Source organism: Homo sapiens, chromosome 1, assembly GCF_000001405.40.
Source record: "Homo sapiens chromosome 1, GRCh38.p14 Primary Assembly".
NCBI lineage: Eukaryota > Metazoa > Chordata > Mammalia > Primates > Hominidae > Homo > Homo sapiens.
Genome location: NC_000001.11, coordinates 116,956,350 through 116,977,632, shown reverse-complemented (window position 1 = coordinate 116,977,632; position 21,283 = coordinate 116,956,350). Strand labels below are relative to the sequence as shown.

At 43.2% G+C, this 21,283-nt stretch overlaps 1 protein-coding gene and 1 pseudogene across 2 annotated transcripts in view; one reads left to right on the top strand and one right to left on the bottom strand.

Annotated features, from left to right (window-relative positions):
* Positions 1-21,283, bottom strand: part of PTGFRN (prostaglandin F2 receptor inhibitor) — an 80,438-nt gene that overhangs the window by 12,721 nt on the left and 46,434 nt on the right. For both annotated transcript variants that reach the window (NM_020440.4, XM_017001874.2), the window contains exons 5-7: positions 15,965-16,390; positions 10,303-10,722; positions 3,310-3,417 (exon numbers count right to left, since the gene is read on the bottom strand). In NM_020440.4, coding sequence (NP_065173.2) covers positions 3,310-3,417; positions 10,303-10,722; positions 15,965-16,390 — 954 coding nt within the window. The remainder of the gene's footprint in view (positions 1-3,309; positions 3,418-10,302; positions 10,723-15,964; positions 16,391-21,283) is intronic.
* Positions 15,162-15,286, top strand: RNA5SP55 (RNA, 5S ribosomal pseudogene 55; annotated as a pseudogene).

Here is a 21,283-nt window from a genome sequence, read left to right as displayed (position 1 = left end):
TATGTACCCAGTAGTCATTCAGGAGCAGGTTGTTCAGTTTCCATGTAGTTGAGCGATTTTGAGTGAGTTTCTTAACCTGAGTTCTAGTCTGATTGCAGTGTGGTCTGAGAGATTGTTATAATTTCTGTTCTTTTACATTTGCTGAGGAGTGCTTTACTTCCAACTATTTTGGAAGTAAATTTTGGAATAAGTGCGATGTGTTGCTGAGAAGAATGTATATTCTGTTGATTTGGGGTGGAGAGTTCTGTAGATGTCTATTAGGTCCACTTGGTGCAGAGCTGAGTTCAATTCCTGGACATCCTTGTTAACTTTCTGTCTCATGGATTTGTCTAATGCTGACAGTGGGGTGTTAAAGTCTCCCATTATTATTGTGTGGAGTCTTAGTCTGTTTGTAGGTCTCTAAGGACTTGTTTTATGAATCTAGGTGCTCCTGTATTGGGTGCATATATATTTAGGATAGTTAGTTCTTCTTGTTGAATTGATCCCTTTACCATTATGTAATGGCCTTCTTTGTCTCTTTTGATCTTTGTTGGTTTAAAGTCTGTTTTATCAGAGACTAGGATTGCAACCCCTGCCTTTTTTTGTTTCCATTTGCTTGGTAGAATTTCCTCCATCCCTTTATTTTGAGCCTATGTGTGTCTCTGCACGCGAGATGGGTCTCCTGAATATAGCACACTGATGGGTCTTGAGTCTTTATCCAATTTGCCAGTCTGTGTCTTTTAATTGGAGCATTTAGCCCATTTACATTTAAGGTTAATATTGTTATGTGTGAATTTGATCCTGTCATTATGATGTTAGCTAGTTATTTTGCTCGTTACTTGATATAGTTTCTTCCTAGCATCAATGGTCTTTACAATTTGGCATGTTTTTGCAGTGGCTGGTACCGGCTGATCCTTTCCATGTTTAGTGCTTCCTTCAGGAGCTCTTGTAGGGCAGGCCTGGTGGTGACAAAATCTCTCAGCATTTGCTTGTCTGTAAAGGATTTTATTTCTTCTTCACTTCTGAAGCTTAGTTTGGCTGGATATGAAATTCTGGGTTGAAAATGCTTTTCTTTAAGAATGTTAAATATTGGCCCCGACTCTCTTCTGGCTTGTAGAGTTTCTGCCAAGAGATCCGCTGTTAATCTGATGGGCTTCCCTTTGTGGGTAACCCAACCTTTCTCTCTGGCAGCCCTTAACATTTTTTCCTTCATTTCAACTTTGGTGAATCTGACAGTTTTGTGTCTTGGAGTTCCTCTTCTCGAGGAGTATCTTTGTGGCGTTCTCTGTATTTCCTGAAGTTGAATGTTGGCCTGCCTTGCTAGGTTGGGGAAGTTCTACTGGACAATATCCTGCAGAGTGTTTTCCAACTTGGTTCCATTCTCCCCATCACTTTCAGGTACACCAATCAGACACAGATTTGGTCTTTTCACATAGTCCCATATTTCTTGGAGGCTTTGTTCATTTCTTTTTACTCTTTTTTCTCTAAACTTCTCTTCTCGCTTCATTTCATTCGTTTGATCTTCAATCACTGATACCCTTTCTTCCAGTTGACCGAATCAGCTACTAAAGCTTATGCATTTGTCACGTAGTTCTCATGCCATGGTTTTCAGCTCCATAAGGTCATTTAAGGACTTCTCTACACTGGTTATTCTATTTAGCCATTCGTCTAATCTTTTTTCAACGTTTTTAGCTTCTTTGCGATGGATTCGAACTTCCTCCTTTAGCTCAGAGAAGTTTGATCATCTGAAGCCTTCTTCTCTCAACTTGTCAAAATCATTCTCGGTCCAGCTTTGTTCCGTTGCTGGAGAAGAGCTGCGTTCCTTTGGAGGGGGAGAGGTGCTCTGATTTTTAGAATTTTCAGCTTTTCTGCTCTGTTTTTTCCCCATCTTTGTGGTTGTATCTACCTTTGGTCTTTGATGGTGGTGACGTAGAGATGGGGTTTTGGTGTGGATGTCCTTTCTGTTTGTTAGTTTTCCTTCTAACAGTCAGGACCCTCAGCTGCAGGTCTGTTGGAGTTTGCTGGAGGTCCACTCCAGACCCTGTTTGCCTGGGTATCAGCAGTGGAGGTTGTAGAACAGCGAATATTGCTGAACAGCAAATGTTTCTGCTGATCGTTCCTCTGGAAGCTTCGTCTCAGAGGGGTACCCGGCCATGTGAGGTGTCAGTCTGCCCCTACTGGGGGGTTCCTCCCAGTTAGGCTACTCGGGGGTCAGGGACCCACTTGGGGAGGCAGTCTGTCCGTTCTCAGATCTCAAGCTGCATGCTGGGAGAAGCACTACTCTCTTCAAAGCTGTCAGACAGGGACATTTAAGTCTGCAGAGGTTTCTGCTGCCTTTTGTTTGGCTATGCCCTGCCCCCAGAGTTGGAGTCTACAGAGGCAGGCAGGCCTCCTTGAGCTGCAGTGGGCTCCACCCAGTTCGAGCTTCCCTGCAGCTCTGTTTACCTACTTAAGCCTCAGCAATGGCGGGTGCCCCTCCCCCAGCCTCGCTGCCACCTTGCAGTTCGATCTCAGACTGCCGTGCTAGCAATGAGCGAGGCTCTGTGGGCATGGGACCCTCCGAGCCAGGTGCAGGATATAATCTCCTGGTGTGCCGTTTGCTAAGACCATAGGAAAAGCGCAGTATTAGGGTGGGAGTGACCCAATTTTCCAGGTGCTGTCTGTCACAGCTTCCCTTGGCTAGGAAAGGGAATTCCCTAACCCCTTGCGCTTCCCGGGTGAGTTGATGCCTTGCCCTGCTTCGGCTCACGCTCGGTGGGCTGTACCTACTGTCCTGCACCCACTGCCCAACAAGCCCCAGTGAGATGAACCCGATACCTCAGTTGGAAATGCAGAAATCACCCGTCTTCTGCATCGCTCACGCTGGGAGCTGTAGACTGGAGCTGTTCCTATTTGGCCATCTTGGAACTGCCCCCTGACTTTGGGCATTTTGTTCACTCATCTATTCCCAGTATCTAGAGCAGCACTTGTATACCAAAGGAACTCAATAAATATCTGAATGAATAAATGAATGAAAGACACAAGAGAAGGAGCTAGACTCTGCCAGTGGGTTTCAAATCAGCCTGAAATAGGCCTGGAAGTGACCCCACTGACTGTCTTGACAGCTCAGATTCAAATGTCTGGATGTATTTCCAAACCATCTAGCAGATAGATGCATCCACTCAACATGTATTTATTAAACACTTAATGAGTACAAAGTACTGGGCCAGGCAGTTAGGGGATAAATAGATAATCCTATCCCTAACCCACATCTGTGTAACACAGTGCGGATGATATGAGAAACATTTACAGAAAGCAACATGGTGAAGGGGTGAGGATGGAGTGAGGTACCTGGATCCAGTGCTGCTCCCTCGACAGTGATGATACAGAACAATTTGATCAGATCTCCCCGAATTACTGATGGTGTGTCTGAATGCACAGAAGCATTAAATATAGGACCTGGAAAAAAAGTAATGCCAGCCTCATTATTCTCTTTCATGCTTTTGTCAAATTCCATTCTTTGCACTCTAAGGGGCATCAAAATGTGGTTCTCTTCCCTGGGAACTGGTCTAGAAACTCACAAAATAGGTGTTCCAAGGTTGCCTCTCTTCTATTCAGAGAGACATGGGCATTAGGCACATCCAAGTGAGCTTCATCTTAAGATTACAACCAAAATAGAACTCTTCTGAAAGAATTACTTTTGCTCTGGCTTTTCTTTCTGGTGGCCACAGTGACCTCATTCGAAAGCTACCCTCCACCCTGGAACAGCCTGGGCTGGTTCTAGTTCAACATGGTTCACTTCTAGGCCAGGGTGGCTTAGGGATCAGAGGAACAGGGACTGAAGCAAGAAAGCTTTTGGTTCCAGTGGAGTGAGTGGTCTCACTGCACTGTGCTGGGTGCTGGGGAAAGGGGCCCTGTTACCAAGAGGCTGAAATCTGGTAAGAAGACAGACATGTCAACAATGATATTTCTATGAGGTGTGGTGGTAGCACTCAAGGCACAGCTTCAGCATGCCAGGGAAAATGGAGGCAGCCTGGATATGCCTTTTTCCTTTTTTTTTTTTTTTTTTTGAGATTGAGTCTTGCTCTGTCACGCAGGCTGGAGTGCAGTAGTGTGATCTCGGCTCACTGCAACCTCCACTTCCTGGATTCAAGTGATTCTCCTGCTTCAGCCTCCTGGGTAGCTGGGATTACAGGCACATGCCACTACGCCCCGCAAATTTTTGTATTTTTAGTAGAGACAGGGTTTCACCATGTTGGCCAGCCTGGTCTCGAACCCCTGACCTCAAGTGATCTGCCCGCCTCCCAAAGTGCTGAGATTACAGGTGGATATGCCTTTAAGAGACTACTGAGGTTGGGGAGGCTATGTGTTGTGGGAGAGTTGGGAGTATATGGAAACTTTCAGTACTTTTTGCTGAAAAGCTGGGAACCTAAAACTGCTCTAAAAAATAAAGTCTGGGCTGGATGCAGTAACTCATGCCTGTAATCCCAGCTCTTTGGGAGGCCGAGGCAGGTAGGTCACTTGAGCCCAGGTGTTCAAGACTAACCTGGGGAACATGGCAAAATCCCGCCTCTACAAAAATTAGCTGAGCACGGTGGTGCACACCTGTAGTCCCAGCTACTCAGGTGACTGAGGTAGGAGGAAGATTGCTTGAGCCTGGGAAGTTGGGGCTACAGTGAGTCAAGATCGTGCCACTGTCTCAATAAATAAATAAATAAATAAAATTAAAATAAAGTCTGGTTAAAAAACAAAACAAAAAAACCCTACCCAAACTGGGTTTGTCTTACATGCCTCCCTGAAAACGCTGCAGGCAGAATTATTATTTTTAACTCACTTATGAATTCCTCTTAGGTGAGAACATTCCATAGCTTTCAGCTTAGCTAATCCTAAGAGTTCAATGTTTACTTTATCCCAACTCCTAAAATCTAGGAACAAGGCAAACCTAAAAGAAATTCACAGAACATCAATGCTATGGGACTCCCCTTGGGTTTCCTGGGAAGCAACGATTGAAGGCCCTAGGTGCTGACTGTAAAACTCATTAGAAGTTAAGAATATAGGTATTACTACTTCTTGTTCAGATTGCCAGAAAGAAACAAGTATCCTAAAGTATCTTTTTTAAACTTGCAGAAGAAATGGCCATGACAGAGGGAGTAACATGATGAAAGGGCTATATTTTCATTTTGACATGATGACTAATAAGATGAATTCATCAGATTGCTTTCCTAACCAAGTATATAAATATTTTTTGTTTTCCTGGGAGAAAGGTAAAGGATGGTTATAGAATATTGAACCCTAGTGGGGGTTAGGCAGCTCTGGGTAGAAACTGCTGAGAGTTCTGATTATTCAGGGAACAGCAGGGGCGTACGTAACTCTAAGGGGATAAAGAATTGACAGAATGGCTGTTCCAGGAAATGGGGAAAGGGATGAAAGCAAAGACAAGGAAGCCTGACCTACTTCTGGACATCATCCCCTTCAATTAACTCAGCTCTCAGCCCTGGCTCCCTCGGGCCTTATACCCTGGACTTGCTCTGCCTGGAGCAGTGAGGTGGGGCAGGATTAGGCCAAACTGCCTGGAGTTGGCTCTGTGTGGTGACTGGGGACACTTATGCCATAGGCGGCCACCTGTCAGTGAGTACAGGTTAGCAGCAACCATGGTGAGCAAGGGCGGGCAGGGGGGTCACATTTTTCTCAGATTAGAAATTTCATGGTAATACACAGAACTACACTGAGGGGCTTTTCTAGTGCTCAGGCCCCTTCTAAGAGAACATAAAATGACAAAACATTAAGAAATTCTCATGGTTTTATCTCATGGATTATCTATTTAATTTGAAGCAGCAAAGAAGACTTACTTAATTCGAACAAATTTCACTTTTTCTTTATGTTTCCAAAGAAAACCCAAATACCTCCTAGGTCACGTTACAGTTCTCACTTCCCCTACTGGACGTGGGAATCAACAGAGCATTTGTGCTGCAGCTCACAAGGCAGACAAGGACTGGGGAAAAGGCCTGCATTGTGGTGAGCTATTCACAGGAGTGGATTTCCTCCTAATGAAATCAGCAGCTCACTGTTAATATGGGTCATTATCCCAGGCTTAGAAATATTTTCATTATGGTCAATTTCTGTGGTAATTCTGTTTTTGTGAGGGGATTTGTCTGGTTAACTTCACAGATGACAGGGTATGGTACAGAGAGTTTAAATGAACAACCGGAGTCACTAGGGGTCCCCCAATTCCTAGTCTGCAGAGAGTATAGGAACTACTTAACTTTTAAATACAAACATTGACATAAACCATGTTCCAACCTTGGCCTCTAAAAAAAGCTGTTAGTGGCAGTTTTTTTAATGAAAGCAAAAGTTACAGACCATCTGCATGTCCATCAATAGGGTAATGGCTAAGCAAATTCAAGTATGTAAAGTCATTAAACGTGGTATTAATGTTTACCTAGAATTGGTGACAATATGGAAAGTGCTGATCTTATAACACTAAAGGGAGAAAAGCAGGTCCTAAAATTGTATGTACAGCTTGATCTCAAAGTCATGAAGAAAATATACAAGAAAAACATTCTAGGAAGATGAACAACACAAGTTAACAGTCTCTGGTAGGATGATGGATAAGTCTCTTTCCCTTCTTTCTACATTACTATATTTTCAAATTTTCTATATATTACGAAGAAAAAAATTTATTATTCTTCTTTTAAAAGGCCAAAGCCTACACTATCATATTTAAATACCATTTTCCTCTTGACACTTTGAATCAGTAAAACCCAGCACTCAGTAGGGCCCCTTGGTTTTTAATACCAAAAAGCAGGTGCCCTGAAATCAGGGGACAGGAAGGTGAACATGGGAAGAACCCCTTTGTTGCGTGTCTTAAGGTATGTCACGGATTTTTAGGAAGCAAAGGCTGTTCAGTTTCAAATCAATGTTTGCTGGTGGCTATTCAGGGCTATAGTATTGTTCTGGGTGCTGAATTTGATGGCAGCTTCTCCTAATTAAAATGTGAACTGGCCATGACAACTCTGTGGATTAAATAAAATAAAACCTTAGGCAATCTATTCAACCTGGAAGCTACAGCGGTTTTATCTGTTATGCTGAGATTTAAAGAACTGAGGAATAGACTCAACATCCATTCCTCACCCAGAAATAGATACAAAATACTCTGTGTCTCCCCTTTTCCATATAAGAGTTTAAAAGAAAGATCAAATAACAAATGTAAAACAAGATGGAACAGATTCCTACAGACAGCAAAACAAATACACAAATAAAGGACAAAAACCACATAATAATCTCATCTCAACAGACAGAGAAAAAGCATCTGACCACATTCAACACCTTTCCATGACAAAAATACTCAACAAACTAGGAATGAAAAAAAAACTAAGAATGGAAGGAAACACACTAGGAGTGGAAGGAAACTTCCTCAATCTGATAAAGGGCATCTATGAAAATCCCACAGTGAACATGATAGTTAAAGGTGAATGAGACTGAACGCTTTCCCCCTATGATCAGAAACAAGACAAGAATGTCCACTTGTGCTACTTCCATTCAACACTGTATTGGAGGTTCTGGCTGGGCAATTACTCGAGAAAAAGAAATAGAAGATATTCAGCTTGGAAGAGAGAAGTAAAACTAGTTCTATTCACAGATGACATAATCTTGTATTTTAAAAATTGTAACAAGTCCCCCAAATTTAGAATTAATTAGAATTAATAAACAAGTTCAGCAAGGTCACAGGATACAAGATCAATATACAAAACCCAGTTGTACTTCTATGAAACTGCAATGAATAAACAAGCCAAAAAGTAAATTCAGAAAGCAATTCTATTTACAATAGCATCAAAAAGAATAAAATACTTACGATAAATTTAACAAAAGAAACAAGATCTGTACACTGAAAACTACGAAACACCATGGAAAAAATTTAAATACCTAAATAAATGGAAAGATAGCCCATGTTTATGAACTGAAAAACAGTATTGTTAAATGGCAATGCTTTCCAAATTGATCTACAGAGTTAACACAATCCCCATCAAAGTCCCAGATGCCTGGACTGTAGAAATTAACAGGCGGATCCTAAAAGTCACATGGATGTACCAGGCATCCAAAATAGTCAAAACAATCTTGAAAAAGAACAAAATTGGAAATCTCCAACTTCTTGATTTCAAAACTAACTACAAAGCTACAGTAATCAAACCATGTGATATTGGTATAAGAAGAGAAATCTAGATCACTGAAATAGAATTGACAGTCTAGAAATAAACCCTACATTTATGATTAAATTATTTTTGACAGGGGTGCCAAAACAAGTCAATGGAGAAATAATACACTTTTCAATAAATGGTGCTAGGACAACTGGCTATCTCCATGCAACATAATAAAGTTGGATTCCTTCTTCTTAACCACATACAAAAATTAACATGAATCATAGCCTAAAATGTAAGACCTAAAACTATAAAACTCTTAGAAGAAAACATAGGTGTAAATCCTCACAGCCTTAGATTAGGCAGTGATTTCTTAGACATAGCAAAAACACAAGCAACAAAAGGAAAAAAAAAAAAAACAGATAAACTGGACTTCATCAAAATTTAAAAATTTGATGTTTCAAGAGACATCATTAAGAAAGTGAAAGACAACACACAGAATGCGAGAAGATACTTTCAAATAATAATGTTTACGGCAGCACTATTCATAATAGCCAAAAAGTAGAGATAGTCTAAACGTCCATCAACAGATGAACAGATAAACAAATGTGGCATATCCATACAATGAAATATTATTCAGCCATGAAAAGGAATGAAGTACTGATACCTGCTACAACATGAATGGACCTTGAAAACATTATGCTAAGTGAAAAAAAGCAAGTCACAAAAGTCCACATATAATATGATTCAATTCATATGAAACACCCAGAAGAGGCAAATCTATAGAGACAGAAAGTAAATTAGTGGTTGCCAGGGGCAAGGGCATGGGGGCATGGGAATGATTACTAATGAGAGTGGAGTTTCTTCTTGAGGTGATTAAAATGTTCTGGAATTAGATAGTAGTGATAGTTGCACAACTCTGTGAATATACTAGAAACCACTAAATTGTACACTCTATATATAGTAAATTTTATAGTATGTGAGTTATATCTCAATAAAGCTGCTATTAAAAACAAACAGATACACAATAAAGGAGGCCTATGCTTTCTCCAAATCTAAGGGCTTAAATCAATATTTACCCTTTAATTTAAAGGTCAAGAGATCTTAGAAGATTATTTCACTATGGTATATATTATATACCATAAAAGGCTATAATAATAGAAAATAATATTAATAGAAAAACTTTATTAGAGTCTAGCTTACCTTTAATATAAATGCTAATCATTTAATTCAACAAATATCTTGCATTCATTGTATGATTCAATTGACACCTGAATTTTTACAGATAAGTATTAATTTATACATTCAGAAATTTCTAACTAAAACCCAGGAACCCAGGGCAGAGTTAGTGAAAACACTTAGTATTAAACTCACAAATGATAATCCTTTGCATTCATATTCTAAATAAGATTGGGGTTTAAATACTTTTAAATCATCTTCCTACTGAAACACACACATACACAGACAGAGGATGTTAAAGATCTTCCACTTTGGCAAGTCATTTAACACCTTGGGAGGCTCAATTCCCTCCTCTCTTTCTTTATACTCCACTATGTTCCCTAAAGTATTTGAAGTAGCTGAGCTTCAGCTCATTTTCTTAAAATGAAAGCAGAAATGAAAACATACATTCATCAAAAATTTGTACATGAATGTCCACAGCAGCATTATTTGTAACAGTCAAGAACTGGAAACACCCAAATGTCCATCAACTGATGAATGGATAAACACAATGTGGGATATCCATACGATGGAATCTTATTCAGTCATAAAAATGAACAAAGCACTGATACATGCTACAATATGGATGACCCTTGAAAACATTTTGCTCCAAAAAAGAAGCCAGATAGAAAGGCCACATATTATATTCCATTTATGTGAAATGTCCATAATAGGCAAAATGTATAGAGACAGAAAGTAGATCATGGTTGCTGCAGAATGGGAGGTGGGGAATGGAGTGTGAATGGAGGGTATTGGCTAAGGGGTCCAGGTTTCTTTTGGGGTCATGAAAATGTTCTAAAACTGGTCGTGGTGATGATCACACAACTTTGTGAATATATGAAAAGCCACTGAATTACACACTTTAAACAGGTACATTGTATGGCATATGAATTGCATCTTAACAAAGCTGTTTTAAAAAATGAGGGCATCTGATCAAAACCCTAGGGTCTCTTCTAGCTCCACCTATGATTCAACAGGGCTCACTGCTCACCTGAGGTTTGGAAGTCTATCTCAATAGGATTGGAGAGACTGGTTGCTGCTTCTCGCCAAAGGCTGCCCCTGACAGGAGACCAGGCTGTCACCATGCAGCGGTACAGCCCTGCGTCTGAGACCTGAGTCTGGTACATTCGATAGCGGAACTCATCCTCCTGCACTTTTTCTAAAACAACGCCATCCACCCGTGATGCATCTGTCCAATTCTCCAGCTTCACCACAGAATCCTGGTCCAGAGAGATGATGTACTTCGTTTCATTGGGACTGGAGAGGTCGCCGACAGGCTTCTCAGCCATGATGAGAACAGAGTAGCGTGGCGACTTAATATTCTTGGAAGATACTTTGCAAGTCATCTCAAATGTATTTCCGGCAGCAAAGAAAGGCTTTGGCTGCCTCGCCTTCACCACAAGCACGGAATCTGGAATGAATGACCAGAAGGATGTGATTTCCAACAAGATCAGTTAAAATAAAAATGCAACTAAAAGCAAAATAACCAAGAAACAGAAATGTATTTGCAAATTGCCACACAAAAGCACCTACGAAAATCTGGAAACTCAGAAAGAAAATCATGTGTATCTATAAGCAGGCTAAAACCACCCCATTGAAAGTAATAGTCTGAAATGAATCAGTGGGTGTCAGGAGAGAGGAAATTATGGTGAGAACTGGTTTTAAGGATTTTTAAGTCCTTAAGAAGTTTCACCAGGAAGAATCTGGGAACCCGCTATTGGTGCTCCAAAAGATGCAAGGCAGAGGACACTCCTATAAAGGTGGGAAAGACATGGCTGAACACAACACCATGACCTCCAAGCCAGGCTCCTGGCCATACCATTTGCCTCTCCTCCCCAGGGGTCTGCTAAGTGCAGGGGAAGTGCCCCTAGCTAAGCTAGCCTGCAGGGAGGAATGCAGCAAGGGAGAAATGAATTCTCCCTGTTTAATCATATGATAGTGACATTACAGAACAGATGTATTGCTAAAATGACTGTAGCGTATGTATTTGCAGATCTAATAATTTCCACTTGCTTTACACTTTAATTTCAGAAATGCTGTTTAAACATTTTGAGAGGTGTCTATGGCTACGCTAACTTTAGGTTTAAGTGGATTACTCCTTGTGTCTCTGTCAAAACAACAATGCCTATGCATGTACACATTAGAATTCATCTATTATAGTAGCACAACGTCAGGCACTTGGAAGGTGCTTAAATATTTGTTGAGTGGATGAATAAATGAATTAGATACATTCTTTTTATCCTTTAATAAGATGATTAATCCTATAATCCATCCAGTTACAAGATGAGATTTTTACGTTAGATTTTTTGGAACACTTGTTCCACCAAACCGATTAGCAGAACATGTATATTAAGAACTCTCTCCAGAACCACTGACTGCTGAGCTTCTACTGAGCCACCACATTCTTTCTTGATTTTCCTGTGAGTTCGGTCATTCATTCATCAATTTAAACATATATTTATTGACAGCCTTCCATACTGCAGGTACTGGAAACATAACGGTGAACAAATAAATACAAAAATCCCTCCCTTTATATGCCAGTGAAGGAAGACAAATGAAATAAACAAATAAAATATATGGTATGGTTATATGGTGATAAATGTTTAAGAGATAATAAGCAGCCAAGGAAGAGAAAAAGCGTGGATTTGTATTTGGAAGGAAGGTGTGTGTGCCACAACCGTAAATAGAGTGATCAGGGACATCCTCACTGAGGAGGCAACATTTTAAAAAGAACCTGAGCTGGGTGTAGTGGCTCATTCCTGTAATCTCACTGATTAGAGAGGCTGAGGCGAGAGGATTGCATGAGGCCAGGAGTTTGGGATCAACCTGGACAACATAGCAAAACCCCGTGCCTCTAAAAATAAAATTAAATAATTAGCCAGGCACAGAGCATGTGCCTATAGTCCCAGCTACTTGAGAGGCTTGAGTCCAGGAGTTTGAGGCGACAACGAGTTATGATGGTGCCACTGCACTCCAGCCTGGGTGAGAGAGCCTGGGTGAGAGAGCAAGACTGTGATTCTAAAAAAATAAAATTAAAATTAAAAATAAAATAAATAAAAAGGACCTGAAGGAGGTGAGGGAGCAAGTCCTATCTATCTTGGGAAGAGCATTCTAGACTGATGGAACAGCAGGCAGAAAGCTACAAGGCCGGAGCACACTTGGTGTATTTGAGGAGCCTGGAAGGGCAGAGTGGCTGGATGGAGTGGGTGCTGGGGAGGGTGCTAGGTGAGGCCAGAAGGTAATGTGACCAGTTGGTACAGAACATCTAAGACCACTTAGAGGACTCTGGGTTTTGCTCTGAGTGAGATGGGGAGGCTTTGAAAGTTTAGAGTGAAGGAGTTTCAGGACCTGACTTATATTTAACAGGATTGTTCCAGCTGCTGTGTGCTAGGGCAGAGCAAGGAGACGATCTGGGAGGCCAGGGATGTAATCCAGGCAAGGGTGGCGCCATAAATGGCAGAGTGTGAAAAGTAGCCAGATTCTAAGTCAATTTTAACAACGAGCAGTCAAGGATGAAGGTTTTGGGCTGAGCCACTAGAACAATGGTGCTGGAGAAAGCTGGGAGAAGAGAGCTGGCAGATGTGATGGGAAGCGTCCTTTTGAACAGAAGCTTGAGATGCCTGTTAGTCAAGTAGTGTCAAGGAGGCAATGTAATATTGAGTCTGGAGTTCTGGAAAGAGGCCTGGGGTAGACATGTAAATCTGGAGTCACTGGTTTCTAGATGGTATTTAAATTGATGAGATTAGAGACATCACCAAGAAGGTGAGGTTAAATAGAAAAGAAGTCCAAGTCCAAGGACTATGTCCAAAGACTATGTCCTGAGGTAGTCTAATGTTTCCGGGTCCAAAAAATGAACAGAAGCCAGAAAAGGAGGCTGAGAAATGGCTAATAAAGTTGGAAGAAAGCCCTGAGAAGGCAGTGTCCCACAAGCCAAGGGAAAAACCAAAGCATTCCCAGGAGGAGGGAATCACCTGCGTTAAATTCTGCTAAGTCAAAGAAAATAACTGACAATAGGATTTTCCAATATGATGATTACTGGCCATCTTACCACAAGCAGCTGAGGGGAAAGCCTGATTTGAGTAGGTACCAGAGAGAATGGAAGGAGAAAAACCAGACACACTGAGTATATATACGTCAAATATTGTTGTTATAAAAGGAAAAAGTAATAAGTAGACAAATGGGTGTGGGAAACAGAAAGACGGATGAAGAAGGAAGATCAAGACTAGCATAAAAAAGGGGGGGCGCCCGGCACGGTGGCTCATGCCTGTAATCCTAGCACTTCGGGCGACTAAGGCAGGAGGATCGTTTGAGGTCAGGAGTTCAAGACCAGCCTGGACAACACAGTGAGACCCTGTCTCTACCAAAAAAAAATAGCCAGGCATGATGATAGAGGCCTATAGTGCCTCTAGTTCCAACTACTTGGGAGGCTGAGGTGGGAGGATAACTTTAACCTACCTAGGAGGCTGAAGCTACAATAAGCCATTATCATGCCACTGCATGTCAGCCTGGGTAACAGAGCAAGACCCTGTCTCAAAAAAAAAAAAAAATTAGCTGAATGTGGTGGTGAGCACCCGCAGTCCCAACCGCTCGGGAGGCTAAGGTGGAAGGATCACTGGAGCCCAGGAGGTCAAGGCTGCAGTGAGCTACAATCACACCACTGTACTCCAGCCTGGGCAACAGAGTGAGACACTGTCTCTAAAAACAAAACAAAACTAAAACAACAAAAAATACCACAACCCTCACTCCCCACCCCCTCTTAAAAAACCCAAGGAAACCTGGATCTAACAGCACATTGACAGACCAATAGGAAAGGTCCAGAAGGGAGAGAATTACCAAAGACATAAGAGAGAGCAGCCATGGTCTAAGTAGTGAGAGGGGCTGGCCTCTGCCAGGACATATGCCACGTGACCTGGTCTCAGCCCTGGGGCAGCGTGAATGGGAATTCTCCTGATTATTTCTACTTTTAGGAGAATAGGAAGCAGGGCCAACAGCTGAGAGAGAAGCTGTGGGAGGAGGTTTGCAGAGACAGAAGGTGGTATGCAGTAATCACTTAGGAGAGTGGGGAAATAAACAGACTAAGGAAATGCAGAATAATTCCCACGCAGTGCCAAGAGCCCACTTGTCACAAGTGACCACTACTTTAAAGGGAGACCAGTCAACATGTTTGAATGTTTCTCTCCAACCACATTAGCTCTGTGGGCACAGGTAGGGAGGCTGCAGAAAGCTGCCTTTGAACTGGGTTGTGGTTTGGCCACAGTCTAATGCAAACCGAGAGGGGAAGGAAGCTAGGGGTGTATGCAAGGGAGTGATTAAAACTGACTGGGAATTTAGGCTAGGTAATAGTAGGTGACCACATAACTTACCCCTACCTCCCAGCCTTAGCTCTGAGAATGAAAGAAGGTGCTATCATAATGTACACCATTCCAGGTGTACGCTGGACTACAAATGGGCACCCTAGTGAGAGAGACGTGAAGACACAATGGCAGTGAAGGACGATGTCAGGTGGTAGGATTAACAGATTGTTGGCCCCAGTAAGGTTGGGGGATTGTTGCTGGAGTACTAGACGGAGCGGTACAGAAAGACAGGAGATATGTTTAGAGAACAGGATGCTTGAAATTGAGACTGTGGAGGGGTTTCAGTTATCAGAAGGGAGACGGTCTAATGTAGCATATAAGCATGTAAGTGTAGGACCAAATAGGATAGAGGACATGATGACTACAGAGAGGAGGACAAGCAACTAAGAATGACAGGATTAACTGTATTAGAGTTCGCCACCTTGGCTGCACATGAAAATCACTGTGGGAGCATTTAAAAATTCCAGTGCCCAGAATGCATATACTTCAGACCAACTAAAATAGAATTTCTGGTGGAACCCGCCTGATCTCGTCTGATCTTGGAAGCTAAGCAGGGTCAGGCCTGGTTAGTATCTGGATGGGAGAATTTCTGGTGGGACAAAGCACCAGCATTTTTTTTAAGTTCCTAGGGGGCTTCCAATTGTGACCCAGTGCTCTACACAGATACTGAAGTTAGCAAGATGGGAGCAGTGTCAGACAGAGTGGCCGTGAAACAAACGCTAACATCTTCAAAGAATGAACGGAGGACCTAGGAGGCAACAGGCAATAGTAACAAGAAGAGGTGGTATGGTGTGATGATGACACGAGATTCGAAGCTAGATATTTTTAGGAGTGAGCGAAAACGACCTGGAAGCTGCAGGGAGGATCAAGAAGGGCACCTGCCCCACACCTCTAGGCCCAGTTATGAGAAGTGTGGGAAGAAAATGGGCATCACTTAGTTGGGCTCTGGGGGAAACTGTCCTCAGAGAGGTAACGGTTTCTCCAGGGGAAAGAGTGTCCTCAGAGTCACCATGTTTAATGCAAGAAAGAGAAAAGAAACATTCAGAGGTAAAGTTCAGGAAACAAGAGACTTGGCTGATTGACAGTGAGTTGGAGAGGGACCTCTCTGGGGCTTGGGGACAGAGGAGGGGTGATAGTGAGTCCAAAGAGCATGTGCAACGGGTCGCATGGCGATCAATGTCCAGGACACACATTCCTAGTGTAAGTGATAACCTGCAGAGGGTGACTGTGCATCAACACACAGCGGCACGACTTAAGCAAAGACAAAACAAAAATGAATAACAAGAAAAAAGTTCCTACCTTCTAATGCCCAAAATATGTTAACAGGCTTGGAGAAGACATCCTTGCTTTTCACCCAGCTGTTGTTCCGCTGTTTGGTCCAGGCAGACACAACACAGTAATAATTGCCTCTGTCTTCCTCTGTAGTCCTTTGGATCCGGAAATTGAACGTGTCTGTATGTTCCTTAGAAAAAATAAAGTCTCCATCCTGGGCCCGCTGCTTGCTCCTCTCTCCATATTTTAGCGTCCAGTCCCCGTCCATGACTGCAAGCAGCTCGCTGGTCACCACATTGTCGCTGCGCCGGTTCATCCTGTAGTACCACGAAACCGTGAATCGGACATTCGCCTCCCCACTCTTCGTGTCCACCACCCGGCATGCCAGCTCTGTGGGGTCATCCGCAAACCCGGGGACCTTGGAAGCATTCAGGTACACCTGGTAGTCTGGTTCTGAACGAGAGACAGAAAGGCCAGGATAGGAAAATAATTAGAGTAACATGGCAAGAATTAACAAAAGGAATGAGACAAGGACTGCTCTTGTTTTAACAATTAAATGCTTCTCCTGCCGGACTAGAGAGACAGAAATCAGTCGTTGCATTGGATAGGATCCTAGAACAGTGTTTTTGCAAAACTTGTAAAACACCGCTTCTCATACCTCCCACCCCAAGAAAACCTCCCAAGAACAGAAGCCCAATGTCCTCGGCCAGAATCTTGATCCTTCCATGGCACTGGGGTCTGCTGTCAGTTTCCCCAAGAGGTTAAGGTCTTCTGAGAAGAATCTCTTAAGAAGCTCAGTGTCCACCCCCTACCAAGATTGCTCTGGAATGCCAAGTAAGCCCACAGACCTCCAACACCCCCACTGGAACAGTATCGGAAAACCCCACCCAACAGTAAATTCCAGAACTCGAGGCCCATCAGTGGCACAGTGGCTCAGCTTCCTGTCATCCTTGGCCATGCCCTAAATGCAAGGCCCTCAGGTCATCATTCCCCCTACATATTTATGTCCTCACTTTACCGTTCCTCTGACTTTTTCTGCGGAATCTGTGTTCAGTGGTCAATAAGCACTCCCATCCTCAAACTCTCCCACAGACATTCTCGCTACTGCCACATGTAACTCACCTGTGTCACTGTGAATCTTGCCCTAGTGAGCACCCCATGTCCCTGCAGAGAAGGGTGGGAGGGAAGCCAGCATTCTCCTAGCATCCCCTTGCCTCTGCCACGGTCCTGTTTCCACTGGGAGAAAAACCCCTCCTTCCTCTGGGGTTCACTGCATCAATTTAATCCATTTCTGCACCTCCATGGTTCTGTCCTCCTTTGCCCCAAGGCTTCCTCCATACCTGCCAAGGAGCTGATGTTGGAATCCTCTTGTGGCTTCCTCTCCTTTCCCCCAGCTCCTCTACACCTGATTACTCGAGGTTCTCCAGTCTCCACACAGTCTCACGCCACTGTGATGATGTGAGATGCACTACAAACTTCCACTTATTCTTCAATGTCACCTGGTCCTGGGTCCCCAGAAGGGATATACTCTGTGCTCCCATAAGCCATCTATGCACTTTTGTATGCCAGTTAGCCCACTCCACAATGACTCTTTGCTTATAGTCTCATCCTCAAGCTCCAAATACACTGCCTTTTATGCAGTAGGCACTCAGTAAATGTTTACTGCCTGAATGTTCAGGCTTTTAGAAAAGGCTACATTTTTCTTCTTCTTCTTCTTTTGTTTTTTTTTTGGACAGTCTTACTGTCCCCAAGTGGAGTGCAGTGGCGCGATCTCAGTTCACTGCAACTGCCTCCCAGGTTCCAGCGTTTCTCATGCTTCAGCCAACCAAATAGCTGGGAATTCAGGAACATACCACCACACCCAGCTCATTTTTGCATTTTTTTAGTAGAGACAGGGTTTTGCCATGTTGGACAGGCTGGTCTCAAACTCCTGACCTCAAGTGATCTGCCCACCTCAGCCTCCCAAAGTGCTGGGATTACAGGAACGAGCCACCGCACCCGGCCTATAAAGGGCTACGTTTTTCTTCCATAGCACTTTGCCTTCTGGGAGAAAAATAATACTACCTAAACAGAACTCTCCATTTATCAACATTATCTTTATCTGCATCACCTTGATCAAAGTTTGGTTTTATTTAACATTGTTTTCATTTATGACATACAGATTACAAACTGCTGAGGTCAAGGAACTTTTCTTGTGATTTACACTTCTAATGGAATTTATAACATCATGATTTCTCCAAGAATGATTCAGTGGACCAGAAAATGCAAAGAACTCAAAATCCTAATTCCTCAAATGTCATCTTCACAAGTATTTAATTGCTTGTGCCCATCCATGGGAGTACATCGTACTGTGATGTGGACACCATAGAGAAATCCACAGGCTGTGGGACTGCCAGGGCTAGAGAGGAATCCACTGGCCATTCTGACTGCTCATTTTACAGGCTCATATGCTGTCACACTGCTAGGGGATGTCCTGAACCTGAGCATGGTGCTAATACACCACACCACACATCACCCTAGCAAAAACTGACTGAAGGACACACACCACCCAACTGTGTTTACACCATCATATGCAAAAGATAAGGAATGCTCAAATTACTCCACATCTAAACTTTCATGTCGAATTCAGGATGCAGCAATGTGGGTGCAGAGCAGGACAACTAAGTCCATCTCATGTGGAAAGGGCAGATTTGCACCAGCTGTGCATAGGGTAAGACTGCCCCAGAACACTGAGCATCAACTATCTGTAGGCAGCAGCCAGCAGTGGCTCTTACATGGAGCCTCAAGTCCATTTCAAGCACAACACATAAGACCCTTCCTGTGTGGCATGAGACTGTGTGGGGACTGGAGAACCATAACCCTGAACAGCAAACTGTGAGGCAGCAGAGAACAGTGGTGAGGAGCTGAGGTCTGGAGCCAGACTGTGTTCAAATCCTGGTTCTGCCACTTACTTGCTATTGACCTTGGGTAGATTACTCAGATCTCTGGTGCCTCACCCATACAAATGGGGATGACAGTAACTAGCTCATAATGTTATTGTGAGGGTTAAGAGTTAAAATATACTGTACTTAAAATGCCTAGACTGGTGCCTGGTGTGTGTGTGTATGCAGGTACACACATATTCATATACACATACACGTGTATATATTTGTGATCATTATTCACAGTTCCCATTTCTGAGGGGAGAGCTTTAAAGAAGTTAGTGACTTGGCCACACAGTTCAAAAGTGGCAGATGGGAACGGAGCCCTGTCTTCTACCACCTTTCAAGTGCATCCTTAGCTCACAGATGAACCAAACCTACTGTCTTCTAAACTTCATATTTTCTAAGTTCCACTGACTGACACATGATTTTTAGGAACGCTGAGTGCAGTGCTGCCATGACACTAAGTTACTGCCACAGGGAATGTGACCCAGAAGACAGCTCCCTGCAGGCCCTCGCCTCAGCCTGACTGACCAGTGTGATCCAAAACACCATGAAGTTGCCTGTGGGGACTCCTCTTCTGTCTCCTCACAGGTGACAGACCCTTTGATCCTTAATGGTTTACTTCCACCCCCGTGCAGATTCTTTCAGAGTGGCACCTTTTCAAAGGCTGTCAAAATTATGATGAAAGATGGTAGATGTTCATTGCAGCATTATTCACAAGGGCCAAGATATGGAATCAACCCGTGTCCATCAACAGATGAATGGATTAAAAAAATATGGTATATATACACAATAGACTACTATTCAGCCATAAAAAAAAAAGAACAAAATCCTGCCATTTGCGACAACACAGATGAACCTGGAGGACAGTGTTAAGTGAAATAAGCCAGGCACAGAAAGACAAATACCACATAATGTCACTCGCATGTGGGAGGTCAAAAAGCTGAGCTCATAGAAACAGAGAGTAAAGTGGTGATTACCAGAGGCTGGGGGATGGAGAGGGGAGAATGCTAGGCAAAGGACGCAAAATTTCAGTTAGACTGGAGGAATAAGTTCCAGAAATCTATTGTACAACATTGTGACTATAGTTAATAACCATGTATTGTATACTTGGAAACTGCTAAGAGAACAGATCTTCGACATTCTCAGCACAAAAAATTATAGGTATGTGAGGTAATGGATATGTTAATTAGCTTGATTTAGCCATTCAACAATGTATACATATTTCAAAACACCATGTGGTACACCATAAACATATATAATTTTAATCTGTCAATTAAAAAAACATGTTGGAGTGACTTGACTGACCTATTAGTGGTCAGATCACAGAACACACAGAAAAGGTGGTCAAAACTAGCTCCTGTGCCAATCACCTGGGCAGCTCTCTCTCTCCTCCCACTCCCTGGCCTGCTCACACCCCAAAGCTCACTCCCCCAGACATGAAAACCCAGCTCTTCCTTAGCCTCCAGACCCAAACACTGGCCTGAGCTGAGGTCTGGGCATTCTAACTGAGCATCCATGGCGTCTTTACTACAGCACGCTCACAACCGAATTCACCTCACTCCACATCTGCCTCTGCAAACACACAAACACAAACACACACACACACACACACACACAGCGAGCCAGCGAGAGAGAGAGAGAAAGAGAGAGAGAGAGAGAGAGAGTTAAAACCTTGTTCCAAACACAGCCAGCCCCACCTCCAAACTTTTCAACCACTCCTGCTACCACATTCCCGCCACTCATTCTCAAGGTCACTCAGTGTCAAAGGTGTGCCATCTTCAACGCTCTCCCTTCCCTTCCACCTCTCCACTCTGAGGGTTCCTAAGTCTCGCACATTCTACCTCCTCAGTGTCTCTTCCATTTCTTTGTTCTCAGGCCTGATGCAGAGTAGACACTTTATGAATATTTGCAAATAGAAGTGAAAACCTCATGAAGAACACCTTCACCCTGGCCCTCACTCCCTCTAGCCAAGACTATAATAACAACCTCCCATTGCCACTTGACATGACTGACATGACTGCTTGGGCATCTGCTCCATAAACCTCCCATGGCTTCTTCCCTCACCTACTGAGTTAAGAAAATGCTCCCCAGCCTGGCATTCGAGGCCCTCCACTGCGTGCACCCAGCCGCAGCACCCACTGCCTTCTCAACTCCACTCAGATGGCACCTCTCACCATTCCCTAGCTACTCCTATGCTCCGCCTTCCTTCCTGCTGCTCTGTCTGCCTCAGCACCTGGGCCACCTGCTCGATAAGTAGTTTAAATAATGACTGAAGAGATTCTTTCATTCTACTCCATTCTCCACCCTGAAATCAATCTGTTTGAATCCTACATACCCAAACACAGCGGAATGAGAGTACGGGGGACTTGCACAATGTGTGCATCTAGCTATAGGAATTCCAGCTTGGAAGGAAAGAAAA